This window comes from Homo sapiens, chromosome 2, assembly GCF_000001405.40.
Source record: "Homo sapiens chromosome 2, GRCh38.p14 Primary Assembly".
NCBI classification, from domain to species: Eukaryota; Metazoa; Chordata; class Mammalia; order Primates; family Hominidae; genus Homo; species Homo sapiens.
Window position 1 is genome coordinate 111,781,087 of NC_000002.12, and position 22,898 is coordinate 111,803,984.

The 22,898-nt window shown below is 37.5% G+C and overlaps 1 protein-coding gene across 6 annotated transcripts in view; it reads right to left on the reverse strand.

Annotated features, from left to right (window-relative positions):
- ANAPC1 (anaphase promoting complex subunit 1) overlaps positions 1-22,898 on the reverse strand; it is a 117,963-nt gene that overhangs the window by 14,856 nt on the left and 80,209 nt on the right. For all 6 annotated transcript variants that reach the window (XM_017004711.2, XM_017004710.3, NM_022662.4 and 3 more), the window contains 13 exons: positions 22,619-22,753; positions 22,362-22,444; positions 21,342-21,420; positions 19,711-19,785; positions 13,732-13,808; positions 13,147-13,237; positions 12,992-13,045; positions 11,276-11,469; positions 7,148-7,234; positions 4,274-4,391; positions 3,237-3,314; positions 2,811-2,878; positions 1,283-1,421 (listed from right to left, as the gene is read on the reverse strand). In XM_017004711.2, the coding sequence (XP_016860200.1) occupies positions 1,283-1,421; positions 2,811-2,878; positions 3,237-3,314; positions 4,274-4,391; positions 7,148-7,234; positions 11,276-11,469; positions 12,992-13,045; positions 13,147-13,237; positions 13,732-13,808; positions 19,711-19,785; positions 21,342-21,420; positions 22,362-22,444; positions 22,619-22,753 (1,278 nt within the window). The remainder of the gene's footprint in view (positions 1-1,282; positions 1,422-2,810; positions 2,879-3,236; positions 3,315-4,273; positions 4,392-7,147; positions 7,235-11,275; positions 11,470-12,991; positions 13,046-13,146; positions 13,238-13,731; positions 13,809-19,710; positions 19,786-21,341; positions 21,421-22,361; positions 22,445-22,618; positions 22,754-22,898) is intronic.

Below are 22,898 nucleotides of genomic sequence, written 5' to 3' on the forward strand. Positions count from 1 at the left end.
ACAACTTTTTAAACTTGGGAAAAAAACAGTATCACTCAAGGTTCAAGATTGAAAATGAAATATGAAGGTATTACTATTTTCCACTGAGGTTTATATTTTATTTCTGAACTCCAGTAGGCAGGAAATAGAAATAGCTTTTAATTTTTATATACTTTCTTCGTTCAAACTCAAGTCTAAACTTATCTATTTTCTTCACAAATTGGGTTAGAGTCTTTGGAATATGCTCTAATTTTTAGAAGAAGCAATACTACAAATTTAAGTTAAACTGTGTCCAAAAATCTTTCAAAAGTATTTCATAAACAACTTACTGAATACTGCCAAACAAAATTCACCAATGTCAACCCTGGGAACTATTTATACATTTCAATCCTGGGAACCATTATAAAGGCTTGGTCATAAGTAACTGACTAAAATGAAATATGAGTTGAATTAAAATAAACTGCTGTCTCCGTACTTGGAAGAACAAAGGATGCTAACTCAGTCCTCTGGCTGCCACTCATCCAGTCCGCCTGCCCCACTTTTGCCGTCTAATTATTCCTTAGGGTCCTAACTACTTTAGACTACTCTACTTTGTATCACCAGCAGGGACACAGTTGCTCATGGAATTACAGGAAACTGAAGTTAAATTCAGAAGTCTTAATGCCTGATTATGGGACAAATTTCTTGTGTTGGAAACTTATCTGAGTCAAGAATATAGAGCAAAATATGTGCTGACCCCGCCGTGGGAATGAGATTGCTTCCTACCCTCATTTATCGTAACTATTTCCTTATTTCAAACACTACTGCACTGGCAGTCGAGTACTGTGCAAATAATAAAGCAAACTAATAAAAGAAGTCTGAATCTGTCATCAGTTTATCCTCACCAAGATTAAGGAAACAAATGGTGGTTTTTAAATGGAGTTAATAATTGCTAGCTTGCAAAACTCGTTTTCTATTTTTGCTATGAAATTAAGTAAATCTTCACCGATTTGAAGATCAATAATAAAATCACTATTTGTTACAGTGTCAAGATATGGTGTGACTGTCCTTGCTGCTAAATGTAAACATTAACTTACAGTATTTTACTTTATTATATATATATTACTTATTATATACAGATTTTATATTCATTATATTTTATTATTTATTTTATCACATAAAAAGCAAACAGAGCCACAGTCAGTCTTTACAATCTGCAACAATGAAAAAGGAAGCAGATCCACCTTTGAAGTTTATAGCAATGGGCGAGGAAGCCGGCAATTTAGAATTATTTCTTTCCGTTTTTACCAATCAATAATACTACCTTGAAAGCCCGGGCTTCAGAGTTCCTGTTAGCAACAGTCTGAGCCAACAAACTTTGCCATCCCATTGGATCTTCTTTGTAGGAGAGCTGACCCGCCCGGAGTTTAACATATAAAACCCCATCCTTGGAAAGGATGGACCTGAAAGAAAAGGAATGAATTTAATATAAGGTATTACTGGCAGTTCTTGGCTGGAAATAGTGTTTTCCCAATACCATGTTCACAGGAGATGAAGCTTTTACCATTTTCCACTAAGGTAAATGATTATTTACTGTGTCTAAGATTAAATCAGTCCCTATGAGAAAGCCTAGAATAAAGTTCTGTTTTTCTTTGGTGTCTAGATTCATGGAACTTGTTAAATGAGGAGGCACTTTGACTATTGGCTCAATTACGAGCTTCGAAGATAGCATTTTGTCTAACATTTCTTTGTATTCCCTATATCCCCTAGCTCTATGCCTAGGGTACATGAGGTACTAAATATCTATTAATTGGTTTGCAGCAAGAAGAAAATAATGCTGCAAATCTAAGGACAGAACAATACAGAAAACAGCTAATATACAGTCTGGAAAAAATCACATTGGGACCAAACTATAAAAACTTTTACATGCTTGTTAAACTTCCTTGAAATTTAAAGGCTTAACTGACATGCTACTTTAGGTATAAATGTATCAACACTCTAAAATAACTGCACGTGATTATTTCCACCCAAAATAAACTGGCTGAGTAGTATATATTATCTACAATAATCTTAAATTTAGGAGAACTTTCTAGCAAAAGAATGGTAAAGAGATGCAACAAAAGATGTGGTCTGATAAACACTGATTAATAAAGTTCTTTTGTGCATGTACAAATCAGCTTTACTTTCTGACATGGTTAGGCTCTGTGTCCCCACCCAAATCTCATGTCAAACTGTAATCCCCACATGTCAGGAGAGGGACCTGGTTGGGGGTGACTGGATCATGGGGGCAGATTTCCCTCATGCTGTTCTCATGATAGTGAGTGAGTTCTCACGAGATCTGATGGTTTAAAAGTGTTGCACCTCTCTGTCTCTCTCTTGCTGCCATACAAGACATGCCTTGCTTCCCCTTTGCCTTCTGCCATGACTGTAAGTTTCCTGAGGCCTCCCCAGCCAGGCAGAACTGTGAGTCAATTAAATCCCTTTTCTTTAGAAATTACCCAGTCTCAGGTAGTTCTTTATAGCAGTGTGAAAATGGACTAATACACTTTCTTAAACTAAATCTTATGTTAATATACCAAGAGATAAGTCCATTACTCTCACAAGGAAGTCAGTGCAAGTTTCTCAATAAATAAATATTTAGGGTTGGAGTTTGAAATTAAAACTTTCATTTTCTAACACAAGTCCTGTTTCAAAGATACAGACTGTTTTACAGAAGACATACCCTACATATAGTCTTGAATGAGATTAAAGGGTGATGAGTCACATTCCAGATAATAATCTATAATTTATACCTTCTTATATACTTCTATTCACTTCCTAAAAGGTAAATTTGAGAAATTTAATGTACTTACTTCAAGTGTTGTGTTCCTTTGCTTAAATCTATGAGCAGTTCCCAGTATCTTGGGCCTTTTACTTTAATCTGTCAAGATAAACGTAAACATAGTCAACCCAAAGCTGAAAAATATGCTCATCTGACAAACTGAAACCTATGTTTCTCAGAGGAAACAATAACAGCCAGAAACAGGCATCTGGAAGTTAACAAGCTCCATTTCCAGACAAAAAATGAATGTAAATCATGTTCTGAGGCCACCTAAGCTATCAATAAAGATCTCTAAGAAAAGACTTGCTCTATTCTTTCTGACTTTTCCTCCTGCTGCAGCTTTCTTATCTGCTACAATACATGAAGAAAGCTGAGGCTTTTATTTAGCTATCTTTAACGCTATGCCATTCTGTTGAATTGACCCCTTGGACCCAACTCCCGACCACACCCAGCTTACCTGCTTTAAAAGATGGAGTTCTGGAAGAAGGGTAGGAGCCATCAATTCTTCTTTGGTTTGTTCATACCACTGAGTGCCCTTTACAAATGTAAAAGTCCAGCCACAATTCACTAGGTAGTCAGTGGAAACAACAAAGAAGAAACATCTCCACGCTATACCTCCCCCTATCCCCGCAGTTCATACAGAGACCTTTAAATGGTATAAAATCCTCTCTGGTACTCAAATCTTAAAGGACTGATGTCTAAATTCCTCACAGGGTATGTGTCCTTCCCATCACTTCAAGCCTTGCTCCTCACAGGCCAGCAGCACCAAAGGCCGTGCTCCAATGCTGCTGGGTTTCTGCACATTGCCTTCTCCGCTGGGAAGGAGCTCCACTCAGTGGGCCAGGCCTAGTCCAAACACTGTCCACTGTTGACAGCCTCAACCCCATAACTAACAGCTAAGCGAGGGTGCTTCTCTGCTTCCCCTGCATTCCACAGACATCTCCAATTATCACCCTCTATTCCCATTGTATCCATGCCTGGCTCCCCAGGGGATAGAAGTTCCTTAAGGAAAATGACAATGTCATCTCATTTTGTACCCCAGAGCCTAGCACGGTTTTGAGTCACAGAAGGTACTTAATAATTTGCTGAATGAAAGGAGGATATAAAACTTGTAATCTATGCATCTAAATGAAAGCTGTCATCAAATACACAATTTTGGGTTTTCAAGTTTCAGCTAACAAATCTAAGAATGGGTCTAACTCAATCAGTTATACAAAACACTACTGTCAGTCACATAAAGTTAACAGGGACATTTTCAAATTATAAGCTCTAAGGACAAAAGAGTAGCTGATGATCCCTAAAAAGTGATACCCAGATCATTTAAATGAGCATGAATGGCCTGGCAGGATATACAATAACTTTGGAAGCTTCCATTTTTATGAAAGTTCAATTCATTACTTATCACCTTTTACTGGACAACACATTTGAAATATTATGACCTGCAAAGACGGATGAGTGGTAATAAAATTACAAGTAAATGATAGGGAGAGATACCTTGTAGGTAACTTCTAAGAGGGCATAGCAGGGCGTGTTTGTGTCCACATCCACAGGCACTAGAAGCCTGGGCTCCGCGGCCAGCACATAGAGGTGCCGGAGAGCCTGGAGATGATACCTGTTCACAAAAAAGACAGAGAGTGGGTAACAAACAACTGTGACAATATGAGCTCTGCAATCTGCCGTTGCCTATAAGCTAAGACAGGACAGAAGCTCAAGTAATATCTTCAAATGAACAGAAATCTTAAAGGCAGATAAGATTCTATTAAAAAGTAATGGAGAAATTATCTTTTAAAAATTTTATATAACTGACCTTTGACCCAATAATTCTTTACTTTAGTCTTCACAGTGAAGAGGTTTTACAGGGAGGTAAAAAGTATCATAACATGAAAATATTTACTATCAAACTGACCACTTATAAAATCAATCACTCTCAAAAACCCCTTTCTACTCAACATAGGCATCTGTTTTTATCTTCTCAGATTTTTTTTTTCTTTTTCCTTAAGGATTGATAGGGAAGAAGGGGGAAGACAGGATGTCAATTCTTCTCAGACAGCAAAGTTCTTCTACACATACATACTTGCACATACATATACACACGTCCTTGAAACACAGTACATCAAACATCCATGTGGGTATGGCAATATTTTTCTTTGGGGTTCTCAAACAGTTTTTTAAACTTTAAGATTTCTATTTTAGAATGTAAAAACAAAAAAGTTTTCATATTTTAAGATCTCATAAAAGAAAAATAGGCTGGGCACAGTGGCTCACACCTGTAATCCCAGCACTTTGGGAGGCCAAGGCAGGTGGATCACCTGAGGTCAGGAGTTCGAGATGAGCCTGGCCAACATGATGAAACCCCATCTCTACTAAAAAGACAAAAGTTAGCCAGGCCTGGTGGCACATGCCTGGAATCCCAGCTACTCGGGAGGCTGAGGGAGGAGAATCACTTGAACCCAGGAGATGGAGGTTGCAGTGAGCTGAGATCACACCACTGCACTGCAGCCTGGGCAACAGAGGAAGACTCCATCTCAGAAGAAAAAACAAAAAAAAATCGCCCAGGCGCAGTGGCTCACACCTGTAATCCCAGCACTTTGGGAGGCCAAGATGGGTGGATCACGAGGTCAGGAGATCGAGACCATCCTGGCTAACACGGTGAAACCCCGTCTCTACTAAAAATACAAAAAAATTAGCCAGGCGCAGTGGCTGGCGCCTGTAGTCCCAGCTACTCAGGAGGCTGAGACAGGAGAATGGCGTGAACCTGGGAGGCGGAGCTTGCAGTGAGCTGAGATCGCACCACTACACTCCAGCCTGGGCAACAGAGTGAGACTCTGTCTCAAAAAAAAAAAAAGAAGGATAAAATGAGACTTCAATTTTAAAAAGCTTTATAGACAGTAACTTCCCTCTTCTTACTCAAATACATTTATTTCTATAAATCTATTAAAAATAAAATCAATAAAGATCAGAAAAAATGACACTAACAAATTACATAAAGATTCTTGTCACCGGCCAGGCGCAGTGGCTCACGCCTGTAATCCCAGCACTTTGGGAGGCTGAGGCAGGCGGATCACAAGGTCAGGAGATGGAGACCATCCTGGCTAATACGGTGAAACCCCGTCTCTACTAAAATATACAAAAAGTTAGCTGGGCGTGGTGGCAGGTGCCTGTAGTCCCAGCTACATGGGAGGCTGAGGCAGGAGAATGGCATGAACCCGGGAGGCGGAGCTTGCAGTGACCCGAGATCACGCCACTGCACTTCAGCCTGGGCGACAGAGCGAGACTCTATCTCGAAAAAAAAAAAAAAAGATTCTTGTCACCAAATGGAAAATGGCTTCGTTTACAATAGCTAAGCCAAATAGCTATGACCAGCAGTACGTGAGTGTGGCTCTCCACTGTACCCTAGCCAATAATTGGCTTTAACAACTCAAAAAATCTTTCCTAAATGACAGGCATGAGGCCACATGTCAGAAGTGTATTAACTTAACAATATTCTTGTGCTGCACCTACCATCAGAGTGTGGTCTTCAGATTAGGCTACTTTTGTAAAACAGCTATCTTTCTTCTGTCGTTGGTTATACATTGTAGTGTAGTTTAAAATGATGGCTTAGGTTACTGTGATAAGTGCTCCTGACCCTTCTCCCATAAACAATAAAGGGCTCTTGACCTGTCTCTGGGGAGACAACATGGGATGCCTTAAGTTGAGCACAGGGCTCAGGTGTCTTATAGGGGCTATTTTATTCTCTGCCCCCATATGCAAGAGATCTGCTATGTCTCAAACTATATCTAGGGAAACTTAAGTGTTGGTGGTTCCTCGTACCCTAAAACACAGAGCTTTTAACTGCTTCTACATGGTTTGAAGTTCTACCACTCACTGCCACTTCTAAATTGTCTCTGGTTTTTTGCTGTATTTTGCTTTTCTTGTCCCGTCTATGTCATTTATACACAATTTATCGGCATCTATGTGAAAGGAAAAAAAGAAACTCATACAGACATTGCCACTAAATCAGACAAACTTTTCTCTTGGAATTAAATAATTAGAGCACAAAAAAAGTATCCTGAACTTCCCTTGGCAACTATCCTTTACCTGATGATTTTTTCCCTAAAGACAACTTTACTTGATCTCCTTTTGGGTTTAGAGCAGTTCTATAGATCTGAGAATGGTGGAAGACTGGTCAGTCATCAGGTGTCCAAAGTTATCCTCTGGTCTAATACTTTGTGAGATAATTTTCTTAAAAGATTTAGCCAGGAATATAACTAAGTTGGAGAACAAAACAATGCTAATTTGGAAATAATTCCATGAAACCAAAATACAACCAAATGATCCCCTTAGAGAACTTAATAAGTATCACATTGAAGACAGAATCACTAGACTCACCGGTTGTCAGTGCTGTGAGCTGGGAAGTGCGGATAAAGGGCACAGAGAAGAGCGGCAATGGAAGAATTTGATGTGCTCAAAGAGTACCTGCAAAGTAAGTTCGGTGGGGACAGATGTTATTGATTATATTGCACATACTTTCAAGGCATTCTTGAGAATCAGGAAACTGGTGTATAATAGTAAGGCATACTGATAAGATGCCCTCATAATACAAGAGTGTCAGTGGTGTGAACATTCCACTTTTCATTTAGTCCTTGGGCCATTTCAAGATCATCACTATTTAAAGCCAAAGTAATATCCCATAAATGTTAAATTTCAACCCTTGAAGCAAGGTTTTAACATAAAATAGCAGAGTAGTGAAGACCATGAATGCAGTCCTAGAAATTATAAATATTGAAGAGTCATGTACCAAGTATGCCACCTTCTTATCCAATTTTATTAATGTATATGCCTATGTATATGCCTATGTATATAAATATACAATTATAAATCTGAGTTTTAAAAATACAGAATGTTGTAATTGGTATTTAAACAGTTTTTTCTGTTTCTGTGAAGCATGATGATTCCTTTAGAATGACTGACTAAATGAAAAGGCAAAAGTTATCATTAAAAAGTTACAACGAGGCCATGCGCGGTGGCTCACGCCTGTAATCCCAGCACTTTGGGAGGCCGAGGCGGGCGGATCACGAGGTCAGGAGATCGAGACCATCCTGGCTAACACGGTGAAACCCCATCTCTACTAAAAATACAAAAAATTAGCCGGGCGCCGTGGCGGGCGCCTATAGTCCCAGCTACTTGGAAGGCTGAGGCAGGAGAATGGCGTGAACCCGGGAGGCGGAGCTTGCAGTGAGCCGAGATCGCGCCACTGCACTCCAGCCTGGGCGAAAGAGCGAGACTCCTTCTCAAAAAAAAAAAAAAGTTACAATGACTGTATAAACAACTATTCCTCTAAATATAAATTCTTTCCTCACCAATATGATACACTTTTAAGATAAAGTTTCATAGACTTTTAAAAATATTCTCTTGGTAAAGGGTCTATTAAAATTTTCCTTAAATTACTTTATTGTTGCTCAAATTTAGTATAGCAAACAGGCAAATTAATCTAAAGTCCCAGAGTTTTTCTAAAAAATATTTTGAAATAAAGATGGTGTAGGACATCACATAAAACCACTTCTAAAACTATTGAGTATAAATACTTTTCTTACACACAAACATGCACACACATATACCCAAATCTCTTTCCCTGTCTTTTAAAATAATTGGAGTATTAAATAAGGACTTATAATTCATTATATATGCTTATATATTTAATGGATTAGAAAGAAGAGATTTCAAAATTTAAGCAAAGAGATACATCTATTTTGGCATGTGCATGGAATAAGCCATTTTCTTTGTACCCTTTTGATAAACCAAAATTCAAAGATAAATATTAAGATACTAATGTTAGAAATTTTGGGTAGAAACATAATGGTGTAGCTATGCTAAGTTTAAATGTTGTTACAGAGTATATATGACCATTTAAAAACCAAAAATCACTAGAAAAGCAGTAGCAGAATGGTAGAAAAATCAATTCGATACGAAAGAAGAGCGAGGAGAGTCATACAGTTTGGAACAATGAAAGATGGGATTAAGAGACACGGAGAGGCTCATTTTGAAAGGAAAAAATTTTCAAAAATCATAGAATAAAATAAATAAGAATTTTCATAGTAATATTTCTTTGACCATTATTAATTCTAAACAATTAAAGAAAGACAATTCCACAAAACATGTTGAGAGGAAATACACACCTTTCTGATCAACTTTACTTTTTGTACTTCTGAAAAGGTGAGTTCCAATGGTAAGCTCAGTCTTAAAGAAGAGGGGAAAATTAGCCTACACAGACACTGTAGCCATTGATCAAGGTCACACACACTACAGCTAAATATATACAGGGGTATACCATATTCACAGAATGGAAGACAATACTGTAACAGATTCTAATCTCCTTAACACAGACACATACAATCAAGGCAATTCTGATCAATATTTTATCAGATTATTTAGTATGGAACAGATTCCAATATTTATATGAAAATGCAAGGAGCCAAGAGAAAAACACACTTTTGAAGAAGAAAACCGAGTTTGAAGGATTTACTCAACTGGATAACAAGACTCATAAGACAATGGAGTATTGGTGCAAGTACAGAAAAACAGACCAGCAAAACCTAATAGCCCAGAAATAAACACAGGTGTATAGGCACTTAACTTATATAATAGAGGTGGTACTGCAGAGCAGTGGAGAAGGATAAACTTTTCAATAGCAGCGGGAAAAAAACATGGAGAAAAATCCGTGCCAGGTAGATTTTAGATTCAAATGTGAATGGAAAAGCTAAAAACTTCTAGAAGATAAGATAGGAGAATATCTCCTTTTCTCTGGGTAAGAAAATATTTCATAAACAACACAAAGAAGTAAAAACTATAAAAGAAGAACATTAATAATTGTGTCATCAAAAGACACCACTGAGAGAGAGTGAAAAGGCAAACAAGCCCTAGGGTGGCAAAGATAGCTGCAACAAACAAAGCTGACCAAGGGCTTAGGACATAGTTTAAAGAATCCACAGTAATCAATACAAAGCTAAACCAATGTGGAGCAGTCAACCTCATCAAAACAGAAAGTAGAATGGTGGCTGCCAGAGGCTGGTGGGAGGGGCAAACAGGGAGTTGTTCAATGGCTATAGAATGTCAGTTTTGCAAGATGAAAAATTTCTGGAGATTGGTTGCACGGCAGTGTGAATATAATTAACACTACTTAATTGCATACTTAAAAATTGATAAGTTTTATGTTATGTGTATTTTACCACAAATAAAAATTTTAAAATAGATAAATATAAAAACTGGGTAGCAAGAGATTTGGACATCACAAAAGAGGTTTTGCAGTTGGCTATTAAAAGTGTAAAATGGTACTCAAGAACATTATTCAGAAATACAGAAATTAAAGCCACAATGAGATCCTGTTATATACCTACTAGTTGGCTAAAACTAAAAAGACTACTAAAAAGACTATACCAATAACAAGGGTTGACAAGGATATGGAACAACTGGAACTTCACATCCTGCCCATGAGTATGTAAAATGGTACAAGTGCACTGCAGCACTGATGGTATTATTCACTGAAAGTGAATACACACGTACAACCTATGACCCAATTCCACACAGTTCTATATACAACAAAATCGAAGACATGTACAACTTTCCCTAACAGCACTGTTCATAACAGCCCCAAACTAGAAGCAAGAAGCATATCCATCAATGGGGGAGATCAATAAAATGTGGTAGTCATACAATGAAAGTGTAATACAACACTGAAACTTGAATAATCCATTGCTACATACAACATGAATCTTACAAACATAATGTTGAGCAAAAGTAAAGTGCAAAAGGATACATCGTGTATAATTCAATTTAAATGTCAAAAACAGGCAAAATCAACGTAAGGTGTTAGAAGACCAGATAGGGCTATCTTTGGGGAAAGGAAGATAATAGTGATTGAGAGGGGTGCATGGCAGAAGCAGAGACGGGTGCTGTGAGTTGAAAGTGCTATACAGAATCTTGATCTACATGATAACAAAGAGATTTTTCTGTGGTAGATAGCTCTTTGACCTGTGCACCTATGATTTATACACTTTTCTGTACATGGTTTTTGGTTCATCTAAAGCCAGGGCAGTCTTATAAAGGATGTAGTCAGGAATGGCACATGTTGGAAAAAGATCAAGAAAGCTGAAAACTAAGAAAATGTCACAGGATCTGGTAAACGATTTTGTTTGTGACCTTTCTGAGAAAGTAGCTTAGTGGAATGGTAAAATTTTTAACCAGGTGGGCACAAGCAGTGATGCACTGAAGAACCGAGCACAGACTATTCTGAGAAATACAGTGATGCTCAGTGTGTCAGAGAGGATGGTAATTCTACTGAGTAGACCATAAGTTGACGGTTAAACTACAAAGAAGCCCATCAAGTCGAATAATGCTGCTAGTTAAGCTAAGAGCTAGTCAGAATTTAAATTTTTCATGTTATCTTCAAGATCAACGTAAGTCACCCTTATAGATCTCACCAATGAGATCTTTTCATTGGAAAAATACATATTCACTTACCTTCCTCCTCCCAAAAATAGAAGTCCAAGGGCCATGTGGTGGGCTAAGTGAAAACCATAGTTCATTTCACCACCCGTTTTCATGTGTAAGAAGCGACAAAGCTGCAAAACCTTTAGGTTTCCTGAGCCAGCCATGACCATGGCGAGAGACAGCAGCACCACGCTCAGACAAGTTTCTAGGTTATGAGGACCTGTCTGTCAGGTGAAGAGATGACATCACTGTAACTGTTGTGTTACATTTCTTTATTATCAGAACTAGCTTAGCCATCATTAGAAGACTACAAAAGTTTGTAACTTAAAAAAAAATCTGGGCTGGGCACTGTGGCTCACGCCTGTAATCCCAGCACTTTGGGAGGCCAAGGCGGGCGGATCACGAGGTCAGGAGATCGAGACCATCCCGGCTAACATGGTGAAACCCCGTCTCTACTAAAAAATACAAAAAGTTAGCCGGGCGTGGTGGCGGGCGCCTGTGGTCCCAGCTGCTCGGGAGGCTGAGGCAGAAGAATGGCGTGAACCCGGGGTGCGGAGCTCGCAGTGAGCCGAGATCGCGCCACTGCACTCCAGCCTGGGAGACAGAGCGAGACGCTGTCTCAGAGAAAAAAAAAATCTGTAAATACAAATATTTTCCCTGATTATGAAATATAAGTTCAACAGAGATAATTTCAAATATTGAATATCAAGACATAACAATCACTTGGAATGTCACACCCAAAGATAACTGGTGTTAACGTTTTGGCTTTTTCTCTGAATTTTTCCTTTACCTACACATATTTTTTCCAAATGAAATGGAGATGTTACTCTACACAATATTTTTAACCTTTTAAATGACCTATTACAAGCAAGCTTCACTCACAAAAAAAAGTTGTTTCTTTTTTGTTGTTGTTGTTTTTTTTGGAGACAGGGTCTCTCACTCTGTCACCCAGGCTGAAGTGCAGTGATGCAACAGCCTCAACCTCCTGGGGTCAAAGGATCCACCCACCTCAGCCTCCCAAGTTGCTGGGACTACATGTGTGTGTCACCACACCTGGCTAATTTTTTATTTTTTGTAGAGATGGGGTCTCCCTATGTTGCCCAGGCTGATCTCAACCTCCTGGGCTCAAATGATCCTCCTGCTTCAGTCTCCCAAAGTTGCTAGGATTATAGGCATGAGCCACTGCACCCAGCCACAAAAAATTCTTGTATAACGTGATTTTGGTAGCTCCACTGTGTAAGAATATATAAATAAACCATAATCAAATTTAATTAACTACTTTTAGACTTTTTTGATGTTTCTAACTTTTCCATATTATAAATAGTGTTGCATAAATCCATGTAGCTTTTACCAGGAAATAAAATCTCTCAGTCTTGTCATCAGAGAAGCAATGCCTCAAAAGCAACTGAATCCTTACTAAGTACTAATATTTTTTAAAAAGGAAATTCCCAATATTTAATACTGAGACAGAATTACATGAGGTATGACAACCCGTGAATATTATGGCCTTTTTTATTCTCTTGTCACAAGAACTAGATACCTGTGCATCCTTCCAGGGTAATCATATTCTCACCTAAGTTAATATCGCAAAACAAAAATAAAAAGATGAGCTAATGGTTCTTCAGATCTCTCATTCTACATTTAAAAAAACAGCAGAGATATCTGATAACACATAAGTAACTGGATCATCAGTAAATTTTTTTCAAGTTTAATTTTATTCCCAAGGAGAATGATAAAAAGACTTACAACAGAAGCATTAGGTGCGGACAAATAAGTCATAAAATCTTTGGCAAATTTATGCTAGAAAAACAAAAGAAAAAATTCCAAGTTATAAGAAGCATCTTAAAGCTTTGTTAAAACAAACAAAAAAAAAGAACACAGTAAACTAAAATACTTCTTACCAAACAGTTAAATGCTGATAAGTTTTCTGAGCCAGCAAATCGAAAACCCAGAGACAAGCAGGCTCCTGCAATTATGTAGACATGTGCTTGGCTGAAAACAGGTGACAAGAAATTTAATAATCATTATTTTACTTTAAAATTAACTTGAAATAAGTAACAATAAATATTCCAGTTCTCTAAGCTAGTTTATATCTTTCTGGGAATGATGAAGTGCCCTCAGTCAGCAGATTTCTATGTATTTTTTTTTCAGCAGAAGCATCGGGTCACCTTACTCATGAAGTTTGCCCCTTGCCTACAGTTTCATATGCAGCAAAAACAATTTTTAAAATTGTTGCCAATTTCTTTAATGGAAAGGATAAAAGACAAATACATACAAGTTAAATCTCCAATATTGCTTTTTGAGGGCAAGAGCTCTATACTTCAGAGAGCTTTAACCAACGTCATGAACATCTGATAAATAATGGTTAGAAATATGTGGGATTCATAATTACTTAAATCAAGGACAATATTACTCCCACATGGTATATTTCAATTTAATTATCTGATAGACGCTAGGATAGCTAATTTGCATTATACATCACTTACGACAAAGTTTCCAAATTCAAATCCTCTGAGCACGGCAATTCGATTTCACTGAGAGAGATACTATTTTCTCTTATAATCTGTCAATATAGAAAGCAAGAATACTTAGATATCAATGTTCTCATTACAAATATTTAATAATCTGAAGAATAACATACTGCTTATCATGGCTATATTTATATAAAGTAAGCTTTACCAAACCATTTCACTCAAAAGCCTATATTTTAATCTCATTGAATGTAATCAAATTTCAAATCTAAGATGGGCTAAGTAAGAATAATAATTAAGGGCAGGCATGGTGGCTCACGACTGTAATCCCAGCACTTTGGAAGGCCAAGGCAGGTGGATCACGAGGTCAGGAGTTCGAGACCAGCCTGACCAACATGGTGAAACCCCATCTCTATTAAAAATACAAAAATTAGCTGGGCGTGGTGGCGCACGCCTGTAATCCCAGCTACTTAGGAGGCTGAGGCAGTAGAATCACTTGAATCTGGGAGGTGCAGGATGCAGTGAGCCAAGATCACGCCACTGCACTCCAGCCTGGGTGATAGAGTGAGACTCCATCTCAAAAAAAAAAATAATAATAATAATAATTAAATAGGGCTGAACAAATATAAACAGGAAGACGTAAGTATATTCTAAATCAGTAACAGGGTCATAATATTGCATACCAGTCAACTGAAATACAAAGATGATGGCTTTAGAATTGGGGCAGGGGTGAGGGGAAGAAGTGGGAAAAGAGAAATAGGAGACAACTCTAATCAGACTTCTTCTTTACGGGATGTTTCCAGCATTAATCCAACATACCTACCACAGGTGAGGTTATTCACTAGGCTAAGATAAGCTAAACTGTCAATATGTTTATCAGCTATGTTACAACTATTGTTTAGAAAAGACATCCTTTTCCTTTTAGTATAGGTAATGAACAATTTACCGAAAAACATACACAGAATATCTAGCTGTAATAACCAAGAAGACATTTGATCCTTTTCTCCTAAAAGAAAAAAGCCAAAAAAGATAAAGCTAATGTTTGCTAAACATATGAATGTATTTAAGATTTATTCTTTTAATCTTCTGAGAAGATTTCTTAGAAGATTTCTTAACATTTCAGGATGTTTTCTTCAATAAAACAATAAATATTGGCCGAACACAGTGGCTTACACGCCTGTAATCCCAGCACTTTGGGAGGCCAAGGCAGGCGGATCACTTGAAGCCTGGAGTTCGAGACCAGCCTGGCCAACATGGTGAAACCCGTATCTACTGAAAAACAAAAAATTAGCTGGGCCTGTAATCCCAGCTACTCAGGAGGCTGAGGCACGAGAATCACTTGAGCCCGCTAAGTGGAGGTTGCAGTGAGCCAAGATCGCACCACTGCACTCCAGCCTGGGCAACAGGGCAAAACCCTGTCTCAGTCTCAAAAATAAAATAAAATAAAATAAATAAATATTAGAAGGCACTTATAATACAGTCTTCTTATGTACTGAATATCACCAAATCAAAGACTTAAAATATCTTTCCTCTTTTTTTTTGCCTTGAGACAGGGTCTCCCTCTGTCACCCAGGTTGGAGTGCAGTGGTGCGATCACGGCTCATTGCAGCCCTACCTCCCGGACTCAAGCAATCCTCCCATCTCAGCTTCCCAAGTGGCTAGGACTACAGGTGCACACCACCATGCTTGGCTAATTTTTGTATTTTTCTGTAGAGATGGGATCTCACTATGATGCCCAGGCTGGTGTTGAACTCCTGGGCTTAAGCAATCCACCCTCCTTGGCCTCCCAAAGCGCTAGGATTATAGGCGTGAGTAACCGCACCCTGTATGTAAAGCTTTTTATGAAAGAAAAAGTGCTATGAAGATGCTAGTTGTTATTTTACATATGCCCTAAGTTCAAACAGACAAGCAGTTTACAAAGTGACCTTTAAAAAAAAAATCCTCCTTTTAACGCTAGGTTGCTCACTACAAGGAACCCTGCTCCAGAATCAATGTAGCTCCAGATGAGAACCCAGAGAAAAGTGGAAGCTGATAGGAAATATCAATCAGGAGAACTGTGAAATTGTTATCTCTCCTATTTGCAGTATCCCTGATGTAATAAAGACCAAATATAACATTATAAAGTCTGAAGTAAAAAAGAGAGAGATGTTATTCTATACTAAAAGTCCAAAAACCATATTTTCATAAAAACAAAAAACGACCACTGTTTTTTGTGTTTTTTTGTTTGTTTGTTTGTTTTTTGTAGAGACAGGGTTTCACCACACTGGCCAGGCTGGTCTCGAACTCTGACCTCGAGTGATGTGCCCACCTTGGCTTCCCAAAGTGCTGGGATTACAGGCACGAGTCACCACACCAGGCCGCAAAAAAGACCACTCTCTGACATGAATTTATACTTTCCACTTTGGAATTACAGTTACTTGTACACATGTTTAATCTCAGTAAGCTGAACTTAGTGCATTTAATAAACTAAAGTTTTTTGAGAACACTCTATATGTCTGATGTATCTTTAATGTATTACAGAGTTTAGCACGTGCCTTGCATTTACAGAGGATTAATGAGTATGTGCTGAATGAAGGAGTGAAAGAAAAAGTATTTCATCCTACAATATACATTTCAAAGAGCACTTTCAAAAAAACTAAAATCTCTGACATCTGAATATGCTAGAGTTAAAATTATGGTAACAAATGAGCGAGTCATTTAAAACAATTCTTCCTCACCTCTTTCATATCAGTGATTAACAAAACTGGAAGAACTAAACAAATAAAAACAAACCTAGGAGTTCTACTTCCTCAAATAATAGATGAATAAATTCCTATCAGATCAACTCATACAACAAGTATAAACCCTAGACAAAATATAAAATCCAAACTATCTATGGCAGGGGTCGGTAAACTATTTCTAAAAGGGTCAAATAGTAAATACCAGCAACTACTGATCTATGCATTTGTAACAAAAAACAGCTACAGACAATAAGTAAACAAATGGGCATGGCCATATTCCAATAAAATTTTCTTTCTAAAAATCAGGTGGGCTTAATTCACCAACTCCTGACCTCAAGACACTGGAGGACAAAAGCAAGCAGATTCTAGAGGGGAGAGTCGATCCATGGAAGAGAGGAACACCACTAGATACATTTTCCTTTCTGCGGTTTCTGCTCTGAAAGCAGGTCTATCTGCGCCAAGAAAGATGGCAAAAGCTACAATTAAAAGCTCATAACCTTCTTGGCCTTAACAACCAGGATACAGGAAAATACCACACCCATTGGGAGGTGAGGACAGAATATGACAAAGGAGAGAGCCACAGAGACAGGGCCCCAAGCTCTGTATATAAATTCTGTGCAAATGTCTGCCTGATCCATGAACCATGTGTGCACAGGGCAGACTCCAACAGCCCACAGGATAAAGACGTGCACCAAGATTAGAGCTAGCAACCAAGAAAGAATGACAATCTGATTCCAAGTAAATTAACCGGTTGCTTTAAAACAAAATGTATATACCTGTGTTTACCGTGCTTGAACTACAAACAACGTGGTTTAGGCTAACACACATTCTCCTGAGAATCTGGAACTTGGGTACATACAAGGCAGAGGGTACCTTACCTACATGTCAGGTCCCAATTAAAAACTTGGGTGCTGAGTCTCTGATGAGCTTCCCTGGTAGACAACCTCAACATGTACCTCATATCATATACAAAATTACTTTGAAATGAATTATGTAAGTATACACAAAACTAAAACTTTGGAAGCTTTTAGAGAAAAGCAGAAAAGATTATCTTCATGATGGGGTTAGACAAATGGTTTTTTTCATAGGAATAGAGAATAACCATAAGAAAAAACTGACAAATCAGACATTATTTAACATTCTAATATCTTCTGCTCATTAAAATTATTACTAAGAAAATGAATATGCAAGCCACAGAGTGGGAGGGATATTTGCAAAAGAAATCTGACAGGCCAGGCGTGGTGGCTCACGCCTGTAATCCCAGCACTTCGGGAGGCCGAGGCGGGCAGATCACGAGGTCAGGAGATCGAGACCATCTTGGCTAACACAGTGAAACCCCGTCTCTACTAAAAATACAAAAAATTAGCAGGGCATGGTGGCGGGTGCCTGTAGTCCCAGCTACTCGGGAGGCTGAGGCAGGAGAATGGCGTGAACCTGGGAGGCGGAGCTTGCAGTGAGCCGAGATCACACCACTGCACTCCAGCCTGGGCGACAGAGCAAGACTCCATCTCAAAAAAAAAAAAAGAAATCTGACAAAGAACGGGTTTCTAGAATGCATTAAAAAAACTCCAGCAACGCAGTAATAAAAATACAAATTTTTTTAAAAAATAAGCAAAAGACATGCACAGACACTTCACAAAAAAAGATAGATGGAGGACCAATAAACCAATGAAAAAGTTCTCAACATTAACAGTCAGCAGAGAAATGCAAATTTAAACAACAGTCAGATATCATTACGTATTCATCAGCAGCACTAAAACTTAAAAAACTAACACCATTAATTATCGGTTAGATGGGCAACAGCCAACACTCTCAAACACTGTTGGTCAATGTGTCAAATGGTACAGCTGCTTTGGGAAAAGATTTATCATTTCTAATAAAACTAAATATACCATCTACCCTATGCCTCAGTAATTCCAGCCCTACCTAATAGGATTGCAAATGGAATACACAAGTTGAGGATCCCTAATCCGAAAATCCAAAATCCAAAATGCTCAAAATCCAAACCTTTTTGAACATTAACATGATGCCCAAAGGAAATGCTCATTGAAGTATTTCAGATGTCAGAGTTTCAGATGAGGGATGCTCAACCAGTAAGTATAATTTCGAGTATTCCAAAATCCAAAAACGCTTCTGGTCCCAAGCATTTCAGATAAGAAATACTCAATCTGTACCACCTAATAATAAAAAGGATGAACTATTAATATACTCAATATCTTGAAAACGCTGAAAGAAGTCTTATACAAAAGGGTATATGCCATATGTGGCTTCATTAATATAAAGTTCTACATCTGGAAATTAACATATTTTGGGAGATAAACAAAATACATATTGGTTACCTGGGGGTACAGGTGAATGCACAAAGAGGGAAGGGGCACAAGGGATAGAGGCTGGTTTCCACAGGTCTATGTGTTAGTCAAATCTTATCCAATAGGGTACTTAACATTTGTGCATTTCACGATATATAAATTTTATCTTAAAAGGAAAAAATGTAAATACCAATTCCAGTTAATACATATGGTACAATTTTGGGATGGAGTGTATTACTGTTTGGAACTAACATTGAAATTCATCAAAAAATGTTGGATTAGATAGAGGAATAGATAAGTGGATAGATAAGTGATGAAACATGTTTATACAGTAAAATATTATTATAGAGTCTATTGGTGATGTGGGTGTTCATATTAACTTCTTTCAATCTTTGAGATTTTTCTTCTGAAAATACTGAAAGAAACAATCTACATAAAGAAACTGAGACCACTAGACATGGACAGTTGTCTAAGGGCAGTGGCTAGTTACAATATTCGGTTTTCAGTTTTTACCAAAAAAATCTGTTCATTTTTAACTAGTATACTTGGCTTATCGAATAAATATGATATAAAGTAATTAAAAGTTATTAGGAGATCTAAAATTGTCACGAAGTAAAATAGCATCTTAGAAATGTGCACTTAATTATGACAAAAATATCAACACTTTTTTAGAGTATTCTGGCAAACATATTTAGTTTTTTCCTTTCATTTTTTAACTCCCACGCAACACCGATATTCATATTTAATTTTTAAAAACTACAATTTCTAGGGACCTGAGGCTAAAAGAGAAGGCGGTGGTCTGTGCAGCACAGAATCTTAAAATGGAAGTTCTTAGGTCTTTAAGAGGTATCCTAATGATCAATATTGCCTTCATAAGAAAAAATATTTTACAGAATTTTGAAAAATCCCATAAGAAATCATAATTTTATGCTACTAAAGATATAATATTTATTATATGTACTTACTTGAGGAACATTGCTGTCAACCCACTTGGAATTTGGTAAAATATCATCCCACAAAATCAGGCATCGAGCAAGTGTCTTAAAAATGCAACAGAGATAAAATTAATTAGAGCAAGTAAAGTTCATACATTTTATAACAATGATAATAATAAACAGAACAATTTAAGAATCAGTTCCCAACTGTTGAGAATTTTGAAAAATAAGTATATGCAAATGCAGGAAGGTTATGTACTGATAAACCTATTGTAAGTTGAAAATACCTTAAGCTGAAAATACACTTAGGCCAGGCTCAGTGGCTCATGTCTATAATCCCAGCACTTTGGGAGACCAAGGCGGGCAGATCACTGAAGCCCAGGAGTTTGAGACCAGCCTGGCCAACATGGTGAAACCCCATCTCTACTAAAAATACAAAAATTAGCCAGGCATGGTGGCACACGCCTGTAGTCCTAGCTACTCAGGAGGCTGAGGAACAAGAATAGCTTGAACCCAGGAGGCAAAGGTTGCAGTGAGCCAAGATGGTGTCACTGCACTCCAGCCTGGGCCACAGAGTGAGACTCCATCTCATAAAAAAAAAAAAAAGAAAAAGAAAATACATTTAATACACCTTGCCTGCCAAACAACACAGCTTGGCCTAGCCTACCTTAAACATGCTCCAAACACTCAAATTAGCCTATAATTGAGTGAAATTCTCTGTCAGCATAGTAAACTGTAGAGTATGGGTCATTTACCCTCATGACTGCATGGCTGACTGGGAGCTGCAGCTTGCTGCCATTACCCAACACCATGAGAGCATCATACTGCCAGGAGTACAAGAAAAAAATTAAAATTAAAATTGGAAGTAGTTTCTTCTGAATGAGTACCGCTTTCACACTATGGTTAAGTTAAAAATCCTAAGTTGGGAACCGTCTTACTCATTAAACTACTCATTAAAATAAAGATTTAAATTTTAACAAAGAAAAACTAAAATTGAGTTGAATATCACCAAAGTTTAGAGGGCTTGTGCGGGTACTTTTTAAAATGTACTCTGGAAAAGAAAAAAATCACAAAGGAAAGAATCATAGCTCTATCTACACATAATTTAAAAGCTTCTATATGCTAAGTTTAAACATCAGAAAAAAAAGAATTAGAGGGAAAATTTTAGACAATTAAGTGAATTGTTACTTTCTTTAGATTCAACCTTAACAGTATTATCACATCCCTGATAGTAATCCAAAAATGTAAAACAAAGCAGTAAAAAAGTCCTAATCACTTGTTGCTTTTTAGGAAGTTTTGAATAATAATGTGAGACAGTGAAATGTCACTCCAAGTATTAAATATCAACGTGGTTACCTTTCTTGGGATTCCCAAAGTCCTATTTGTGAAATTTCAAATGAACACTGCCAATTAGATATGCATGACAAATTAAAAATAAAAGGCTCTCTTGTAAAGACATTTATGTTTGCCATTCATTCATTCATGGAGAACAGCCTGTGTTGCCCAGGCTGGTCTCAAACTCCTGGACTCAAGCAATCCTCCTGCCTCAACCTTCTGAAGTGCTGGGATTACAGGCGTAAGCCACTGTGCCCGGCTTACAAGCTAAGTTTAAGAACCACAAATAGACTTCTCATGTTAACACAAATGAAGACAAAGCATACCCTAAGCAAGAGAAATTCTGGCTTCACAAAGTCCAACAAATACATGGTGTCAGGGGCTCGGAGCCAATCTGCAATAGATCTGGTGGTGGAGGAAAACAGTAAGGCACACTGTTCAAGTAGAGGGCAAGACAATCAAGAATCTCAAGCTCTATTTCAAAACATTTCTTCCCGCTCCACTACAGCTCTACATATTTTTCACAATACTTCACACCTTCTAATGTAATAGTTATTATAGATGTACATGTATGTCTTACTATAACATAAACTCCATGAGGGAAGATATTTTTAGTTTTGCTCAATGAAATATCCCCAGTGCCAAGGAAGCACTGCCCTACACATTCATCCAAATAGTAAAGTAATAAATATCTATTTTTAAACACTTTGTTAATTCTGCACACATTTACTTTTTCTAAAGGGAGAAATGTGGAACACTGAAAACTCCTTGAATCTTAGAATTTGTTTTTAATTAATAGACTAAAGACATGGCATAACGTCTTGTACTCAACTTATTCCTCATGCAAAGTGTAAGCATAAATGCCAAAGATCTTACTTTCAAGCATCAGCATTAATATAGCAAGTTAGGAAGGCAGACGGTTTGGTAATTACAAAAGCTCCTGAAGTAGGCAAAAACCATTGTTTTACATGGTAACCAAGATCACACTAAATGATAAGTATTTCTGGCTTAACCAGTCCTCACAGCAATATGCTAAATTAATGAAAACAAACATGGGCATTGCTTGGGTGTTACTGACATCAACTACAAAACAGAAATGAACAGAAATTGAAAACTATATTGTCAAATACCATTAAAATAGCCAAATACATTATTTCCAGGTAAAATCTTTATAACTTCAAATACTGCAAGTTTTCTTTCAAAAACTTACAGTACTTGAAAGAACAAAAAATCAGCTTAATCCAGCACAGGGGAAAGAAACACATGAGATAACTGAATTTTACAACCAAGGTCAGGGAGGATATCACACTATCACCGCGGGAGGAAGGGTGAGTGGGTAGAAATACCTGTTATTGGTTTTTAAGTAGATCATAGCCAAAGCTAGAGTAGCACCTGGACAAGTCACATCCACATTTATGGTATCTCCTTCCTATTGAAAGAAGAGTTTATGCATGTAAAAGAGTTCTAAATTATTATAAAATTCCTCTGAATAATAACTATGCTTAAAATTAACACATTTACCAATGTCAGTATGAACACTAGTATTTTCCAATTAACTTCCCAGCTTCCAGACTTTTGATCTATTACTTTGCTGTGTACTTACTTTGATTTGATAACTTGGTGATTTATGTTTCTCCCTATGCATTCCTGTTTGAAAGCGCCTATGTCCTCCAACCATGTACTGATAGAGCTGCTCAGGCACATTGAGATCAGACATACCTATCAAATTGCTGCCATGCTGGAAAAGACAATAACAGACGAGTGAAAAGAAATTTTATGAAGGAAGATCCACAACACATACCCATAACAAATATAAAAATGAACTAACTTCAAAGCAGGTTATTTTGGGTTTTGTTTTTTTTATTTCCAATTTAAAGCAAACA